This window comes from Homo sapiens, chromosome 7 (genome assembly GCF_000001405.40).
Source record: "Homo sapiens chromosome 7, GRCh38.p14 Primary Assembly".
Classification (NCBI taxonomy): domain Eukaryota; kingdom Metazoa; phylum Chordata; class Mammalia; order Primates; family Hominidae; genus Homo; species Homo sapiens.
Genome location: NC_000007.14, coordinates 80,458,407 through 80,478,695, shown reverse-complemented (window position 1 = coordinate 80,478,695; position 20,289 = coordinate 80,458,407). Strand labels below are relative to the sequence as shown.

The 20,289-nt window shown below is 35.1% G+C and overlaps 1 protein-coding gene across 1 annotated transcript in view; it reads left to right on the top strand.

Moving 5' to 3' along the window:
• The window catches only part of GNAT3 (G protein subunit alpha transducin 3), a 53,430-nt gene extending 33,369 nt beyond the window's left edge, over positions 1–20,061 (top strand). The window contains exons 5-8 of the mRNA NM_001102386.3: positions 4,317–4,445; positions 16,065–16,194; positions 16,384–16,537; positions 19,835–20,061. Of these exons, the coding sequence (NP_001095856.1) occupies positions 4,317–4,445; positions 16,065–16,194; positions 16,384–16,537; positions 19,835–20,025 (604 nt within the window). The 3' untranslated portion in view covers positions 20,026–20,061. The remainder of the gene's footprint in view (positions 1–4,316; positions 4,446–16,064; positions 16,195–16,383; positions 16,538–19,834) is intronic.
• The last annotated feature ends 228 nt before the right edge of the window (positions 20,062–20,289 follow it).

Below are 20,289 nucleotides of genomic sequence, written 5' to 3'. Positions count from 1 at the left end.
GAAATGAAAATGAACAAGGTGACATAATGAGATTTAAGAAAATATAACCAGGGGAGCATTTTAAATAACTAAGTTTGAAACTGCCTGAGAAGATTCTATGGTGCAAATATCTTCTCTTGATTAAAAAGTGTTAACCTTTATGCATAGCCTTTCACACTAACACAGACTGGTGACATGCACACTGAGGTTTTGGGCTATTCATTTCATCTCTATCCATATTAGTGAAATCATCTCCTAGATTAATTTCATTAATGACACATGCCTTGGCTCATTGGGTTGATGACCATGATACAAAATTCTAGAAGAAATTAATGAAATGATTTCCAAAATACTTGTATACTAGGAGATTCTTTTGGAGTCTCAAAAAATTCTATAAATTTCACTGCTTGTATCATCCATTTAGCATTAATTAACCATAAGGAAATTAGGGGCTTGTGACACTATTTATAATTTCATTATCAAAGTGATTTAAAATTTTCCTTTAGTGCTGGGCACAGTGGCTCACGCCTGTAATCCCAGCACTTTGGGAGGCCATGGCAGGCAGACAGCTTGAAGTAAGGAATTTGAGACCAGCCTGGGTTACATGGCAAAGCCAAGTTGCTACAAAAAAATACAAAATTAGCCAGGTGTGGTGGCATGTGCCTGTAGTCCCAGCTACTTGGGAAGCTGAGACAGAAGGATTGCTTGAGCGCAGGAGGTCAAGGCTGCAGTAGGCAGAGACTGCACCACTGTACTCCAGTTGGGGCAAAAGAGCAAGACCCTGTCACCAAATTAACCCCAAAAAACAATTATTTTAGCAAGTGGTTCCTAACATAGCCCCTTACTATATGCCTGCAAGATGTGTGCATATGTAAATACAATCTAATTACTCATTTTCTATTTCTGTTCATGCATATGTGTGAAAAAGTGTAAATATAGTTCTTTTGATGAACTCCCCCTCTCCCCGCCAACAGAAGCTGCTAGCATCGTTTAATTAAACAAAAGCAAAACAGTAATGTAAAAGTGAAACAAATGAAAAAGATCGGTTAAGGACAGAACAATGAAGCTTGCATGACACTTCAGATTTTTAATCATTGATGGACAGAATGATTAGGGAGAGAAAATAAGCTATATAAACTCTAGAGAAAAAATTTTCTGTAATTATTCATTCATCTTTATTTTAGACCCCAATTTCAAAGGGCACATTGCTTTTGGAGGAGTTTTTCCTAGCTCTCTGATGGAGAGAATGAGTCTCATTTTGTGATTATATCAACTTGAATAACTTTTCATAAGTGTCTCAGCACCTACCACATTTTAATAGTACAAGGGATCTCTGCAGTGGAGTAAAACATTGCTTTTCTAAACTATTCATTGGTAAAGGTAGTCACAATGAGTAAGAAGCTGAATTGTGGAATATTTCCATAAAATCTTGCTTAGTAAAGCTCTGGGTAGAGAGCTAGAGAGAAAGATAGATTAAAGTGGGCTCTCATTAATATATTTAGTCTTGTACAAACCACATAGTTAAAATGGGCAAATAAATGGCATTTTATTGTATTTTCTAGTATTTAATTTTAGCTTTTTCCTTTATTTAAATACTTAAAGTATGTTTTACACTGGGACTATCTACTCCATTATAGATTCATAGTAAAATTTTAAATCTGTTCATCAAGTTAAAAACAATTAAACAATATCAATTTGCATTCATTTTGTAAATGTTGCCCATATTGTAATAGTTTTCAACTACCCAGATTACTGCAGGTGCAATAGAACAACAACAGAAAAGCTCATTTTCCCTGGGTCTTAGAGAAATTTCATACATAAACAAAAAGTAATAATAATAATAAAGTGGTTTTTTTTTTCTGCTCTTAGGTGTCCTTAAAAGGAAAGCTTGCTGAGAAAGGTAGTTGAATGGTCATTGCTTTCTTCCAGAAATTAAGAGCAGATTTTTTTTTCCAAACACTGAATTACATTAGAAAACTAGATATAAAATGAGATTGGTACTATAATGTGTGTCTATTTCATATACATTATATAGAGCAAGGTCTCTAACACTTTTTTCTTTTTCTGGTAAAAGTAAGATACTTCTTGTTTTCTCAAATCTAGAGATCCTTCAAGTTAAGGCTAACAAAAAAGTGAATATAATCAGAATAAGGGAAAGGAATGCCATAGTTGGCAACATAACCTCATCAGTTCTAGCAAATTGAAAGAAGAGGGGTATGGCAGGGATAATCAGAGGAAACATTTTAGTTGACTGCATGGTTTGCTAATTGCAGCCATCTAGTGTGCCTTTAAAATTCCATGTGCTTTAAGAATTACCATAGACTTCACCAGGAAAAATACTAGTTTAAATAATTGGAAAAGAATTTAGTACTTTTAAATGATTAGATTCATATATGTTAAGGGCCTCTATTTGGTCTAAGCTTTAGATTATAGACTTGAACTCCCACATTCCATATTTGTTTATTTAAACAAGCATTTTAAATGCAAATTTGTCAGTCTGCTAATGCTTCTGCTTTGCTTGAAATCATTCATACATGCAAATAAATGTGTCCTTACCAAGGTTTTCATTTAGGTATCATGAAATGAATTTAATCTTTATTTTGGTAGGTATATTTTTGGGTTTTTTTTGTTTTCTTTTTACTCTTGCGTGAACTAACTGACCAACAACACACCTACCACACATGCAGACTTAATTAATAGAAAATTCACAAAGGGATTTGCTTGCCAAAATAGAAAATAAATACACTAGCAAATCCTGCCAGTACTTTTTCCAATACATTTACATCTTAATGTTTCACTCTTTTTTCAAAAGAAAACTTAAGCTTTTTTAGAATAAAACAATGGTGACAAATTTTCATATTATATATGTTATGTGTTTCTGAGGTGTGATTTTTACTCTCGGCCGAAATCCCTTTGGGACACTTGTCCAACCTTAATTTGTTTCAGCTTAAAAGGAAAAAGATCCTCCAAGAATAAATTACCTATATTAATAATGAATTTTTTTAACTAATAAAATAATTTTGTTTTTTCAATCTTTGTGCTAGGTGCTAAGGCGTAACAGCTTCTCAGCTTAATCACTGAACAAACAATTTTTAACACTGACTAACATTCAGCTGGATTCTACCTCACAAATTCTGTCTCGATGGAAGCACTTGAATCTTATCTTTCTATAAATGTGGTTCAGTGTAATGGCGAAATTTGTCATAAAGGCATTACCATGCTATTACTATTTGTATCTGAAAGTTTTACAGAAATAGTGATATTGCTAAGCCACTAAAAGCTTAGTATCAAAAGTCTAGACCAGTGGTTTTCAAATTATTTTTAAAGCAATAAAACACTTTTTTTTTTTTTTTTTAGTATGAAGACATTATCTCGTTTCAAGAGTTAGGAAGCTGAGAGCAGGTTTTTTTTCCTCTAATTTAGCAGACTGTTATAGCATACACAATTTAATTAGACTTATTCCTGTTCATCACCACACCTAGATCCTGTGAGGGGAAAAAAACACCATATTCAGCCTGTTAATACTAACAATTTTTAATATAGCTTCCTGGAAGGGGTAAAGACACAGTGATGCATTGATGGAAGAGGAGGTGGGAGTGGGGACAGTGGGTACGTTCACCCTTCTGTCCCCAGGAGAGCCAGGTCAGGGTGGGTTTGCAAATTCATGAGTCACTTCCAGCATAGACCAGGAAGAGAGACAAATGGTACTTCTTTTATTGCGCTAACTAGATATTGCAATGGCATTTAATGGAAATGGCTGAGTCTTGATGAGGCAAATTCATGCAAAAATAACAAACAACCTTCAAATTAGTACATTCGAACCAATCACTCTCATAAAACCGAAAATGCCTAAATTCAAACTACAGAATTTCGAGGATAATCTAGCCACTACCACTATAAGGCAACTTTTAGTTTTGTAATGATCCAGGCACTATAAAGAGAAATTTTCTTTCATACTCCTATCCATATACAAGCAAATTTATCACACAAACCACATAAAATACAGGTTAAGGCAATGTTGATTTAGGTGCCTTTAGAAGAGGACGCTGGGGGTCAGCTGTGTGCCACATTCAGCACTCTGCATTCTGCAACATTCCAGCTACCAAACTTTTAATTCGATGAGCATAGTTTGGAAAGCGCCTGTCTAGAATTTATCATTTTTCATAGAACCTACGCTAAAAATTCATTTCTACTGAATCCTGGTTTCTTCAAACGCAAAGTTAAAAATATATATATATACACACACATATATATGTATGTATGTGTGTATATATACATATATGTATGTATTTATGTATTATATATACACATATATAATTTTGTTTTGTCTTTATTAGCTACCTTAATGATTTAGATAGAATAACAGCATCTGGGTATGTGCCAAATGAACAAGATGTTCTCCATTCTCGAGTGAAAACGACTGGAATCATTGAAACTCAATTCTCCTTTAAAGACTTGCACTTCAGGTATGATCAAATATCTTTTCTAACTGTAGACAGAAGTATGCATCAGGCTTAATATTTCCTCATGGAGAAAAGCTCTAGCCCATGTTCAGGTTCAATAATCCTTGGATGTACTCACTAGCTCTAGTTTACCTTCAGTACCGCTGTCCTTTACTGTCCTTCTATAGCCTCTCACCCCAGCCTCTCATCCTGAGCCTCATCCCTCCTTCCAGGCTAAAATGCTTCTGGCTTGAGCAGGTGGGGACTAGATTTTACTTTCCTCATGCTTAAAACTGGCACTGTACTTTGGGGAAAAAAAAGAAAATGTATTTAAATAACATACAAGAAATGGGTGCCAGGAATCCTATTTCCTTTGCCTTTCTATTTTCCTATTTGCTTGAAATATTCCTATAACATCTGTTTCCTTAATTTTAAAAAATGCAAATTACCAAGATGAGAATTATTTGAATATGATACTATTTACTGCAATAACAAGGCATATTTTATAACCATGTTTTGAGTATGAAAATGAATCATTATTTTCATTGCGGTTATATTATCGAGAGCTTCCTAGAAATTCTACTGCAAAATCACTCATTTACTATACCAAGAAATGGAAACCCATACTATAATGTTAGAAAATATCCCTTAATATTTAAATACCTTTTTGTATGGATTGTGGACAATATGGAATATTAAACATTAATAGCAGGTTCTAGCTGCATTGTTTAGTAATGACAAAAATCAATAAAAATATAACTAATAAAATTACTCTTGTATCAAACAATGAGAATAATCTTAAAGAGTAAAAAACTGGAGATAGAGTGGCATGAATTATTCATATCCATTCGTGAGGAAAAAGAAAATGGTAATTAATCAACATCATAAATTTATTTTAGTAAGATAAAAGCTTCAAATATTTTAAAGTATGTGTTATATATAATATCTAAGTAGAATACCTATTATGTAGATAGTATATTTTCAACTAATACGGAAAAACTCTTCAAAATTCGTATCTAAATTTTAGGCCCACAAATAGTTAATTTTCTGAAAGATGAGCCAAAGATTAAACCAGGGTAAAGGGACTGCACCGATTGGGATCAACATCCTCTCTTGGCAAATGTAGGAAAAGTTTGTCGTCAGTCTTGGCTTCACTATTGTATAGTTCTTTTTGGCAACTACTTTCTTCAGACTCCTCACCTTTGATCCAGTTTCTGGGTTTTCCTTTGAGGCCCTGAGTCCAGTTGTTTCTCCCCCTCTGCCCCTCCCACGCCAGTGAAAACATTTTTGACACTGTCCCTTTTCTGTCTTACTCTTTCTTTTCTCCAGATGTCTCACTGAAACAGACTAGAACTGAGTGTGGGCCTTGAGGCTGCCCAGACCAAAGTTCCAATTCCAGGTTACCTAATAATTAGCAGTAGGAGTTAAGAAACACAGTTAACCTTTTCTTTATTTGCTTGCCTAATGAGTTTGTTGTAAAGATTAGATGAAGTAAAGTCCTAGTAGAGAGTTATAACTTGATGTAGCTTACCTTTCATAAGCCAGTAGAACTCTCTGTGTCCTAGATTGTCTGGACCATAAACGGGTTTGGACAAGTGATGTTACCTGTTGAATACCTAAAAGCTCACTACCCAAGTCACTCCCTACAACACCAACCAATTTGGTATTGTCTCAAAAATGATCACTCTCAAAAATTATCTTGTTTATGTATCTGTTCTTTAACATTTCAAGCCTTTGTACTTGCTAGTCTCTTTGCCTAAAGTGCTCTGCCCCTGAATCTGCAAGAAACATCTCCTTCTTATGATTAAGTTCCAAAATCAAATGCATATCCTCATGGAGGCATAACCATCTTATCTATGTACCATCCATGCTTATCCCTGTCACTATACACCCTGCAGCATGCTCATAAATGTTTAACAGCAGGGTTTCTGGGGCAGTAAGGCGATGGAGGGCTGGCTGATTGTAGCTCTTGATTTTTCTGGTGCAAATAACCCCACCATGGTCAATTTCAGTCAACCAAGGTGATGTCACTAAATGCAGAGTTGAGGAGAAATGCAAATAAACAGCTCTCACTAGCTAAGCCAGGGTGAGCCATAGCCACTGCAATATTGATACATCACATTGCTTTCCTTTTAAAAAAAATTATCAATATATGAGATTGCCTTGCTTCTTTATTAGTTTTCTCTTTTTGTTTCTGTTTCTATCTCATATGCCCCCGAGCTCCTGGAGGCTAGGGGCCATGTCTATTTATAGCTCTACTTCCAGTGCTTATTATAGTGGCTAGCATAGAGTAAGAATGAAGGTAATTTTTGCTGAATGAGTAAATGCACTATGCCAAACACTCTACATACACAATCTTTATACTTGCACAGTAACACCATGAGCTGAGTGTTGCTATCGATACTCAGGATAAGCAATCTTGGTTATCCTGAGGCTAACTGGATAGCCTCAAAAACTGGAGGCTATACTGAGATAAAAGATTTCCCCCAAGGTCTTTCACGGAAGTGCTAGAGATGGAATTAAAATGCATATCTTTCTGTCTTCAAAGACCACACTCCTTACACTGTATGGCACTGAGTTGTTAGATAAATTGGGTGAAAACCATTTTTCTGTAGAGTGTTGTTTTCAGTGTTGTTGGTCATTTATAATCTCTTTCAGAGAGAAGGCGGGAGGGAGGATAAAATGACAGCCTTTTGGGGAACTATCTTTAAGTTGGAGGGTCATGTGGTCCTTTATAAGTCAGTGCTTCTAAAACCAGGGTACGAGACAACTGCCAATAAACACGTAAATCCTCAGAAAATCATGGTCATTTTCTGAGACATCTATTTCACTCTGAACAAAGTAATATAAACAATCATAAAATTTTGAAAATTATGAGTATGTGGTGGTTAATACTGAGTGTCAACTTAATTGGATCGAAGGATAAAAAGTATTGATCTTGGGTGTGTCTCTGAGGGTGTTACCAAAGGAGATTAACATTTGAATCAGTGGGCTGGGAAAGGCAGACCCATCCTTAATCTGGGTGGGCACAATCTAATCAGCTGCCAACACAGCTAGAATATAGGCAAGCAGAAAAATGTGAAAAGACAGACTGGCCTAGCCTCCCAGCCTACATCTTTCTTCCGCCTCAGTTCCCCTCAGCTGGTACTGCCACCACATCAGCCGCCCTCCCAGAGATAGAAAGATGTAGGCTGGGAGGCTAGGCCAGCCTCCCTTTTCACATTTTTCTGCTTGCTTATATTCTAGCTGTGCTGGCAGCCGATTAGCTTGTGCCCACCCAGATTAAGGGTGGGTCTGCCTTTCCCAGCCCACTGACTCAAATGTTCATCTCCTTTGGCAACACCCTCACAGACACACCCAGAATCAGTACTTTGTATTCTTCAATCCAGTCAAGTTGACACCCAGTATTAACCATCACAGAGTAGAATATAACATTTGCATTAATGTTTAAAATAAAATATTAATTTTAAAATACATTTTATTCTTACAATAGGACTCTTCAGTTTAGACCTCCAGACCCCCTTTGGTACATAGTCATTTTCCTCTGTCCTTTTGTAGTTTTGTGATTTTGTGAAGCACTATCTTAAATCATATAGGAAGGTGAGCTATTTTGCTTTTGCATATTATTGATCCTTATGAAGCAATGAGGAGGGTTTTGCTAATTCTCTATTACAGTATGAATGCTAAAGTGTAAGGTGTTTGTGAATTGGATTGTGAAGCCCAGCTAGAAATTATTTTGATACGATATTCTCTTGGCTGGGCGTGGTGGCTCACACCTGTAATCCCAGCACTTTGAGAGGCCGAGGCTGGTGGATTACTTGAGGTCAGGAGTTCAGACCAGCCTGGCCAACATGGTGAAACCCCGTCTCTACTAAAAATACAAAAATTAGCGGGGCATGGTGGCACACCCCAGTAATCCCAGCTATGCAGGAGGCTGAGGCTGGTGAATCACTTGAACTCAAAAGGCGGAGGTTGCAGTGAGCCAAGATCGCGCCACTGCGCTCTAGCCTGGGTGACAGAGCAAGACTCTGTCTCAAAAAAAGAAAAAAAAAAAAGAACATTCTCTTTACTGTGCAACTACCACCTCTTCGCTATATACTAAAACAGGTATCAAGCTTGTTTTTTTAAGAGCCTTTGCTTTTCCTCTGACTCAAGACAATGTTATTAAAGGCATTTTCAGTGAGGAAGAGGATGGAAGATACAGTACCTCCTTACTCCAATGCAAGGAATTTTTCTAAAAACAAGTCTTTATTTAAACAATAAAATTTGGAAATATTTAAATTTTGTTACAAAATATTTTAAAATATCTTTTTCTTGAGGAGCTATTTAAAATTATTTAAATACAGTTTTAAGTTTAGTTAGAGCAATTAAGATATATTAATCCTTTAATAAATTCTCACCATTAAATAGCTTTTATTTCAAGTGCTAAATAGGATAGTCCAAAAGTGCACAGGGTTTTAGAGTGTACAATTCTGTAGTATTTCAAAATAGGAAGTATAAAAATAATGTACCTTCCAACTTTTTTTCAGCAAGTGCCCAGGTGTTAAAATATATTACATTAGCATTGATTTGTATTCACATAGCATAAGATGTCTTATGACTATTTAAAACCAAAGGCTCAATTTACATACTAAATTAGATAACTCTAAAATTTTACATAGGAACACCAAAATGAAAAATTATCTCTGCCAATGTACTGTATCATAATTGTGTATCATCTAATTCAGTGGAAATTACTGTAGAGTTCTTATCAAACCAGAACTGCAACTGTCAAACTGATAAAATAAATTATCTTTATAGACATTAATGTACTATGTAAGTGGAAAATGCAGAGCAAATGTGAGCCCTCCTATTGTTACAGAATAATTCCTCAGAACAAATAACTTAGACATGTATTTACAGGGATTTAGCAGACAATTATAGAGAAGAAACTTTCTCCCTAATTTTTCCATGATGGAAAAACAGAATTGAAAGGACTTAAAACTATATGGGAGCTAAGGAAAAAAGGTTAACAATTATTACAACACAGAGCTTTAGATTTCATAAATTACCATAACTGTTTATAAGAATGTTTGAGCAGATCTATGATATAAAAGAAACTACGGTTTTCCTGAGATATGACGTTGAATTGTGTATATCGTGGTCATTTGTGTGGCATATGAATCATCTCAGATAGGAGTGAATCTGGCTGTCCATCCAGCAGCTACATTTCAATTTGGCTTTCCTAGTCTTTATAAGATCTCATAGAGCAATAACTCATATATACTATATATTTGTTTCAGGCATGTTTATGGTTAGTATTACCAAAATAATAAGTTATAAAATATGATGTTTAATTGATTCTAGTGACAGAATTTATTGTGATGGCTTTATGAATTACATTATTAAATAATCGGAGAATTATCTAGTGGGCATTTGAAGTTTCAAATGCACACACACATTTAGTAGAAAGTATATAATGGTATTAATGATTCTGATGATTTGGAGAGCTTGGCTCCCTTACAGTTATAAATTCTTTTGATTCTGTTTTTTAATTGTGAGGATTTAAGAGACTTAGTAAGACATCTGTGCACATCCTTCCTGTCTGCAAGTATCTACCATTCTCTGTTTTCAAGACCAGAAACAAGGGAAAGATTGGTTAGACCATTTGCTATGGGTGTGTAGTGAAGACACAGATCCACCTGGTCTCATATGTAACCATGATGAGAAATTATAACAACTGCGATAGAGACTAACATCTTGAATAAATCCCATTCAATAGAATACCTTAAAATAAATTCCTACTCAGATTGAGTTTTATTTTTATGTAATCATATACATAGTAGAGAATGTCAGAAAGTGATTTTTCAAAGATAAGTACATGCTTATAGGATAAGCAAAGACATCTAACAAATAAATTACCTGCAGTAGCATTGTTGATTTTTAGCTACTCTAGATTATATAATAATTTTACAAGAATTATAAGCAGATTATATTATAATAATCTATTCTGATATGAAATGTGAATAATCTCATGTGATCCAATATTTAGCCAACTGTTTAACATAAACCGTAAAGCTCAAAGCTTTGCCGACTGCTTACTAGAACTGTAAAACTCAACTGTTGAGTCAACTGTTTAATATAAAGCCGTAAAACTCTGATGGTTTGCCCTGTATTAATGCCTTGGTCAATTTAACAAATAATCAGTGTTCGACTGTCACTTAAAAGCCTGGCCTGTCAATTTTTAGCTACATCATAAATTTTAGTTATTTAAATTTTTTAACTTTAAGAAGTCCATCAAGTGTCAGACTTAATAACAAAATACATATTATCCCTCCTTAAAAAAAAAACTTAAATAAATAAGACCAAAAAACCCCACACAAAATCCCAAATGAGGACTGTAAGTTCCATGTAACATCGTGGAAGTTAAGATTTATTATTTTATTCAGGGAGTTAAGAGTATTCAAGCATGTCCATTTCCCTCATTAATAATCTATTATATTTGACCAATCCAAAACTCCGGGCAGCAAATATACATGTTTTCTCTGATTTTAATTTTGTCTCTCACAGAATGGTCACAATAAAGCTTTTTGTTTTGATTTCATTTTTATGCATAAGGGAGAATATTCCTTCGGCCAAAAATATAAGCAATTACTTCACTTTGGGGATCTCCAAATTGTTTTCATAGGTAGTAATACTTTACAATTCCATAAAATAAGGACTAAATTAAAATTTGGGGAAAAGCTAAAACTGAAAAGTATGAAAAATAAATGACTACAATATTAGCAAAACAAAATGTAACTAGTCTTAGAGCTAACATAGTGTCCAAGAGAATCAATACAAAAACAAAACTCTGGCTATTGATCTGATTTGCTAATGAGCATTTCAGTTCAATAATAGCAGATGGCATTAGAGAAATGTGCAGTGCTCCCTGGACCTATGTCTCCTACGTCAATCTGCACACACAAAAATATTGTTTATCAAATGAGTCATAAAATGAGACGATTATAAGCATTCAACCTAAGAGAGACTTTCAGAATCCATTTTATCTATATGAACAAAATGCTAAGACTGAGCAATCTTTGTCCTCTCTTCCTTGGGAGAAAGCCAAGCCACTTAAAACATGTTTATTAGAAGCTGCATGATATGCTGAAAGAGCACTGGGCTAAAGGTCATAGTACGTGAGTTCTATCCTTTACTAATTGTGAGTTTAGGAACAAACCACCTTAGCCTCTCAAAGGCCAGTTTCTTCATTTTGGTAAAGAAATGGGTAAATACTGTTTTCCCTTCAAAGAATTGTTATGAGGAACATAAGGCCATGGATTAGAATTTATTTTTCAGGGAGAGCACACAATTCCAATATGACTTTTATTCAACCGTAAGGTATTATTCCTGCAATTGTTACTTATCACAGTTGTACATATTTATCAGAAGAGGAGAATAGCTACCTCTTACACCTGTTAACACATCATTAGTAGGCTGCAAAGAAGCTGACTCATCAGAGCAAATTAAGACATAGCCATTGAGTTTGCTGTTACTCTGATTTTCATCTCAGAGATGCTTCAGATGTTTCAGATTTGGAGAAAAGCCATTTGAAAACATTATGTTGTAGAAAATAAAATATGTAGGAAGTATATGAGGCTCCCTTTTTTTCCTCCTCCTGGGGAGTTTATGTCCCCCATAGAACCCACAAATTAGAGTTCCCATATCTTAATTCCTACTATTATTTTTATCATTAACCCCCCACACACCAAAAAACAAAACTATTAGCATGAGAGAAATAAGATGATTTTTCTCTGAGGTAAAATATTTGGTCACTCTGCAGGAAATCTGAGCAATTACAAAGTCACCTTAAAGAGAGGAGTTTCTCAGACTTTTAAGATGTGAATAGAATCTAACAATATATAATCTAATTGAAAATGTGACTAAAAGAATACAAATATCAATCGGAATGAAAGAAAATGGCATAATTGGGCATAAAAGCAGGGAAAAGGAGACTACAAAGGTTGACAAGACTAATGCAAGTTCTGCTTAGTGGAGAAAACTTACCTGAGGCATCCTAGAATTCGATTCCTACAGCCCTGCCATCACTGCTGTGGAAATGGCACATCGGGCTCCCTTAGCACAAACATTCCATTACTCTTTGTCTTGGCTCCATGACTGGTTTGTCATTAAGCAATGGAAAGGGGTTTTTTATTTTCCCCCCCTGAGGTGGGGATTAGAGTGAAAGAGATTAGGACTATGGAAATCCTTATGGGTTAAAAACCCCGTGGGTGGGGTTAGAAAGGGTGGTTTCAGTTTGAAAAGCCCACCAGGAGTTTAAACCTAGTAATGTATACTCTACCCTCAGGTCCCCCAAATCCATAAGTTAATCATCATTGTTCAATCACAGCATCACAATTCTTTGCCAAAAAGTGATCCACAATATATTCATATATGACCAAATGGAGCCTATATGTACTACATCTGAAATGCATTAGGTGATTATCTTCATTAAAAGAAAAGAACGAAACCTCCCAGAAGAAGGGAGTTTAATTTTTTTGCCCAGTGACCTGTTTGACAACATAGAACTACTGCCTGGCCTGGGAGAAGGATAGACTCCACAGTGAAGATAATTTCTGTCCACTAGTGAAGGTTTGAGAGCCAACTGCAGGCACTAGTACTAGTTGTGCACCTCTGTTCTAAGTAAATAGACTTAGCAAGTTAACAACTTTCACAGCATAGCTATCATAGCCACGGAATCTATCGAACCTATCGTGGTGCCAGCCAGGTACATAGCAGCCTCAACAAATATCAGCTGAAATAATAATTCTTAGGCAATTTGCTTAAGGGTCCCTCTGAAAAAATAAGAATGCTAAACTTACCTACCTTGCAAGTTCCTGAAGAGGTTTAAATGAGTTAATTGCTGTAAGGTGCTTATATACCCGACAAATAGTAAACTCTTATTAGGTGTGTTAAATTAAGATTAATCCATTACAACTGGTGATGTGGAACATGAAAGTCATGATCTCAACTATTTCTATTTCCACCACATTTTATAGTTTAAATGTAATTTATACTTTAAAAGTAATTTCAACAAAGAAAGAAATAAAACTCCAGTTTACGAAGTCTGAAAAACACTAAGGTTGTTTTTATGGACTAACAAAACAGTTCATGAACAATTTAAATTTCTGAATGCATATTTATCATCCTTGTTTCTGTAAGAATGTTGTTTAATTTTTAAAAATTAAATGTATTGGTTAATTTTCACATAATATAACCGTAAAGTCAAACTTTGGTCCCCTTCCTCCATTTATTTTGCAAGCCTGAAACTGCAATTTGGTAATTAGTAGCACATATAATATTCTTTATACACACCAAATTTAAATTTCCACACTATTAACTATTGAACTCTTAACCATTATCTTCAATATTGTGAGCATCTTCTCTTTTAGTCTACTGCTTAATGGAGTGATTTTGCATTAGTACATTATTTGGGGAATATTAGTTATATATATCTTTACTTGGTTCATATGTGAAATACGAAGTATAATATATTGTACTTTTGATTATTTTCAATAATCAGATCGGTAGACATTTATTACTCCAAATATAACTATTACCCGTGAAGTCTGTACAACTTGGATGCTTTTTGGTACTTAATACCTTGGTTGTAAACTATTATGATAGCCCCATACTTTATTTCTTTGCTTCTAATCTCTTCCTCATTAAGCCCAACTTCTGGACTCAGATCAAAGTGATCTAACACAACAACAAACAAACAAAAAATGTCAATTCCCTATCTAAAAATCACCCATAGTCTTCTATAGTCTGCAATATGAAATCTACATTTCTCATGTAACATGAAAGGACCAGTAAATCCACTGCTGGCTGATCACATGAGGCTCACTCCTGAAGTACTTTGCTCTTGCTGTTTCCTCTGTCACCTTTGCTTATAACATTGTTTGCTCCAGATATCCATTTGGCTCAACCCCTCATCTCCTTAGGTTTTTACACTTCTGCTATCTTCTACAACTCCTGATCACTCCATTTCAAATGACAACCCACCCCCTACACTTCCTATATGGATATCTGAAGTCTATTTTCATATGGATATTTCCTATTAAGTCTATTTTCAGATATCCATATAGGATATCTGAATCCATTTTGGATATCCTATAGGATATCTAAAGTCTATTTTGAAACACACACACCAATCACTACCACCATCACCACCAGTTTAAAAGCTTCTTAAGGCTGAATCCTTGGTGCCTGGCATATAATAAGTGCTTAGTAAATATTTATTGAATAAAGGATGAATGAGTGGATAAATTGATAATTATTAGGCCATATAGCTCAGTGTTTTTACCTTATTCTTTATGTTCCCAAAACTATAAATTGCTTGCTTACCCCAAACATGCTATGTTCTCTCATGCCTTGATAACTTACACATATTTATAGAAAACATGTGTAAGTTATCAAGGCATGAGAGAACATAGCATGTTTGCTGTGTTTCCTGCCTCTCTATTCAGTTAACATGGAATCTATTCGTTTACTTAGCAAATATTTTTTGCATGCCTGTTATGTGTTGGGCATGGTGCCAGGAACTAGGAATACAGCAGTTACTAATACAGATAACGTTCCTGACCTCATGAGGCTGCTATTGTATTAGGGAGATGATAGATATTGATGATTACCATAAAGGAAAGAAAGTGATGCTATAGAAGGTAAATGGAGGGTGGAGAGAGGTGTAATTTAAATGGACGCTCCAGGAGGCTTCTTTATGGAGGAGATATTGATGCTAAGACTTCATAGTTGAGAAAAAAAGCAACCTTGGAAGGAAGAAGGAAATCTTTGTCACAGGAAAAGGAAAGAGACTGTGTGTGAAAGCCCTGAGGCAGCAAACATTAAACAGCTCCTTTGATATCAACCTAACTTTTTACTGCCTAGCTCCTAGTTTTTAAAATTGAGTCCTCGATCCACAATGATCTCTTACCAAAATATAAAAGTAGAGGAAAGGCTGAGTTTTCAAACACCTTCTCTAAGTGTCATGATCCCTCAGGCTAACTTAAGTCTTTCTGTATGCTCACATTTTACCTTGTATATTAGAATATTTTTTACATAATATTATAGTAACTTATTTGTTTTTTTCTCTACAAGACAGAACGTTCTTCGAAGATAGGGACCATATCTTTTCATCTTTGTGCTAGTAGACCTAGCACAGTGTCTAGTACATAGAATGCAAACAATAATTGTTTGAGTAAATGAATGTAGAAAGACTTAAGAAAATAGGCAAGAATCATAACATCAGAACTACAGTAACTTCCAATCTTCTTGCAGTTTCTTTTCATTCAAGAGAATATGTCTAAACTTTTATCAAAATCTTCTGTGGCTAATGAATGTTTTACCAAAACTCTAAACTCTTTTAAACTTCCCAGTTTCTCAAAGTCAGTGTGTAAATTATTTTATTCTAGTTTGCACGGAGACAATTTTAAAAGACTGTTTTTTCTCTGTAGTCCTTGAGCAGCCATTTGACCAAATAAATTTAATTTTATAATCAATAAAAGTCAAAAGAATACCTTTTGAAGATAGGGGATCACCCATTTATACCTCTAAATGTTAACCTCAATGCACATTTTGGAGGATATTTGCAAGATTTATTATTCATTTGATGTTTTCTTAAAGGATGTTTGATGTAGGTGGACAGAGATCTGAGAGAAAGAAGTGGATTCACTGCTTTGAAGGAGTTACATGCATTATATTTTGTGCTGCACTTAGTGCCTATGACATGGTCCTCGTGGAAGACGAAGAAGTGGTAAGTCTAAAGGAAAAACAAAGCCAGGGTTAAAAGTAATCTTTGTGCTTTTCAGTAGTACTACCACATTGCCCAACTCATGAAGGTTTGCCAAAGATTTATGTTAGTTCTAGATCCTTGTTCATGATGCTCAACATTCACATTTTGCAAATAATAATCCTACCCATTCTCATTTCTGATACCTAACAGAATAGAATGCATGAAAGCCTTCACCTGTTCAACAGTATCTGTAATCACAAGTATTTTTCAACAACCTCCATTGTCCTGTTCCTCAACAAAAAAGATATCTTTCAAGAAAAGGTAACCAAGGTGCATCTTAGTATCTGCTTTCCAGAATACACTGGTAAGATTTTTTTCTTTTAGTTCCATAGAAATAAATTTTTGTATAAATATATATTTCCTATCTGGATCTTGACATTTAATACTTATGAGGATGAGGCTTATGATCATTTTTGAGTTATCTTTATGATCCAAACTGGAAAAAAAATCTTACAAATAAAGAAGAACCCTCTCTACATTGTGTACATTAAAGCAAAACCCTAATAAAATAAACTGGAAGGGGTTAGATGGACCAGGGTTGCTACTCTATAGACTTTATCAAATGACATTGGAACCTGAATTGTCTTCAAAATTATAACAGGAATGCAAATCTTATTCGAAATTGGCATTTTTAATGTATCTCCTACTGAAACCTTGTAATGCTGTAGTAGATCTCAGAGGCTCTTCAATCTCTGAGTTGTTTCTAGAGATATAGCATGAATGAATTTGAGAATGAATAATGACATCTTCATTTTCCGGTTTTCGTGGATCCTGGAATTTTAGTGCTAATCCTGTTAGTCAGCGATTGTAAGTGTGAAATCCCACAGAAGGGCTGTTTCTCCTTCAGAAAGAATTTTATTTATTTATTTATTTATTTTTGTAAATAGTTGGATATTCCATTGGTAATAAAATTACATAAGAAAAATATTTATTTTTCTTTTTTGAGATGGAGTCTCGCTCTGTCGCTCAGGCTGTAGCCTTTGCCTCGTGGGTTCAAATGATTCCCCTGCTTCAGCCTCCCGAGTGGCTGGGACGACTGGTGCACGCCACAACACCCAGTTAATTTTCGTATTTTCAGTAGTAATGGGGTTTCACCATGTTTGCCAAGGCTGGTCTTGAACTCTTGACCTCAGGTGATCTGTCCACCTTGGCGTCCCAAAGTGCTGGGATTACAGGTGTGAGCCATTGCACCCAGCCATATTTATGATTTAAACAAAAATACAAATCCAGTTTTACCACTTAGGTGCGTAAGGTTGCCCAGATGTTACTAGGACCATGGCATTTTATCAAAACAAATACTTACATTGGTCAACCTACAATTAGGGCTTATATCTTTTTTCTATAATTATAAATATTTATAATATATTCATACATTTATCATGTGATTAAGTATAATAATATATTTTGCATATTACAAATAATATTCAAATATATTGATTACTAATTAAATATAAACTCATAATTAAAGGTTTTATATTATATATATAACAGGACTTATTTCTTAGAGCAGTTTCTAGTGTACAGAGAAATGAAATGTTTCAACAGAAAGTACAAAGAGTTCCCATGTACTTTCTTTCCCATCCCCTCCTACAGTTTCTCTATTATTAGAGAACTGCTTTGGTGTGGTACATATGTTACAATTGATGAATTATATTGATGAATTGATATTAACACATTTTACATTATTAACTAAAGTCCATCTTTTTTTTTTTCTTGAGATGGAGTCTCACCCTGTTGCCCAGGCTGGAGTGCAGTGGCACGATCTCAGCTCCCTGCTACATCTGCCTCCTGGGCTCAAGCTATTCTTCTGCCTTGGCCTCCCGAGTAGCTGGGATTACAGGTGCACGCCACCACGCCCGGCTAATTATTGTACTTTTAGTAGAGACGGGATTTCACCATGTTGGCCAGGCTGGTCTTGAACTCCTGACCTCAGATGATCCATCCGCCCTCCCAAAGTGTTAGGATTACAGGCATGAGCCACCGTCCCCGGCCAAGTCCATCATTTAATTAGGGTTCACTCTTTATGTTGCACAGTTCTATGTGTTTTGCCACATGCAGGTCATGTATCCAGCATTACAGTGTTATACAGAACAGCTTCGCTGCCTTAAAAATCCCCTGTGTTCCCCCATTCATGCCTCCTCCCTCCTCACACTCCTGGCAACCACTGATCTTTTTATTGTTTCTATCCTTTTGCCTTTTCCAGAATGTAATATAACTGGAATCATATGACATGTAGCATTTTCTTACTGTCTTCTTTCATTTGCAATATGCATTTAAGTTTCCTCCATGTCTTTTTATGGATTGATAGCTAATTTTTTTATTCCTAAATTAATATTCTGTTCCTTAAACGAACCACAGTTTATCCTTTCAGCTACAGAAGGACATCTTGGTTCCTCTCAATTTTTGGCAATTATGGAAAAAGATGCTATAAACATCCATGTGCAAGCTTCTGTGTAGACATAAGTTTCTAGGTAAATGCCTAGAAGTGTGATTGCTGGATTGTATGGTAAGACTATCTTTAGCTTTGTAAGAAACTGCCAAATTGCCTTTCAAAGTGACTGCACTATTTTGCATTTCCACAAGCAATTAACTCCTATAACTCCATGCACTTACCAGAATTTGGTATTGCCAGTGTTTTGGATTTTAGCCATGTTATATGGCTTTAAAGCTTGTCCTTCAAGGAATTTTGTTTCTAGTTACAATAAAGTAGGAAACAAAGACTTATTTTTTAGAAAGTCTTTATGCTACTGCTCTATTCTGTGTCAAGTCCCCTTAAAGCATATTCTGTTATAAAGCCCATCAACAGGTCATTTTTAGTAGTCCTGTATTTTTTAGCCTACTTGTTTTATTTCTGCCTTTTCTCAACTGATTCATTGCACATCCTGCTATTGGACTAAAGTTTCTCAAGCAGAGCCTTCATTGTATTACTGCTATATAACACATCAGTGAAGAGTACCTCTCTATAGCCTTTTATATCGCATCCTAACTCCTTTGTTTTGTTAGTAACATAGTCTATAATCTAGCCCATAACATCTATTCTACTTGATTTCCTACAATTCCTCTACAAAAATCTTTCATTTCTATCGAAGTAGATTCTTCAAAGCTCAGTCTGTTTCCCGACCCTACCCTCAAGTCTAGTGCTACAATTCTCACTTTCACTTTTTTGTTTTCACTTACTTTTCTCTGTTGTAGCTACCTCTCAAAGTCCAGCTCAAATACCATCTCCTTCTGTGCCTTAGTCATCTACCTTTTCCATTCTTTTTCTCTTTTAATTTGTATAAAAACACCCATACCCATACCCACAAACACACACACAGTGTTTGATGTATACGTAAGTTTGTATCACTCACTTTGTTTTATAAATATTTTGGGATTTCTACTGTATTTTGAGCTTTTTGATGCAAAGTTTACCTTTTAGCCACCGGGAGCTCCCAAAGGGGTGAGCATAGTTCCCAGCACCCTGATAATTGACCGTTGCCTTTATGATTTTGCAATACTTTGTATATCAAAGTAAAATCCTAAAATTTGCTGATATTATTTATAGCCTATTCTTTGTAACATATGATTAATCTTTACTTCTTCAAATATTTTGTTTAACAAGGGCCAAATACATTTGAAGATGCAGGAAACTACATCAAGAACCAGTTTCTAGACCTGAATTTAAAAAAAGAAGATAAGGAAATTTATTCCCACATGACCTGTGCTACTGACACCCAAAATGTCAAGTTTGTGTTTGACGCAGTTACAGATATAATAATCAAAGAGAATCTAAAAGACTGTGGGCTTTTCTAATCAACTATTTTCTCTTCCACTCTTGCTCATGTATGCTTTTCAAAATATAAAAGAAAAGGTGCTGTATGACGTGTTTAGTTTGAATAGACATTAACTTATCTAGACATATAACTAGCATTGTAAAGCAAAAAGTTTTCCCACAAAAATATTTATGTGTTATCATCTATATCTGGATAAGTTTAAATTTCTTTGGAACATGGGGAATGGGAGTGTCTTTGATGTCCTTATATCTAAAAACTGATATATTTTGGTAACTGTAACAGT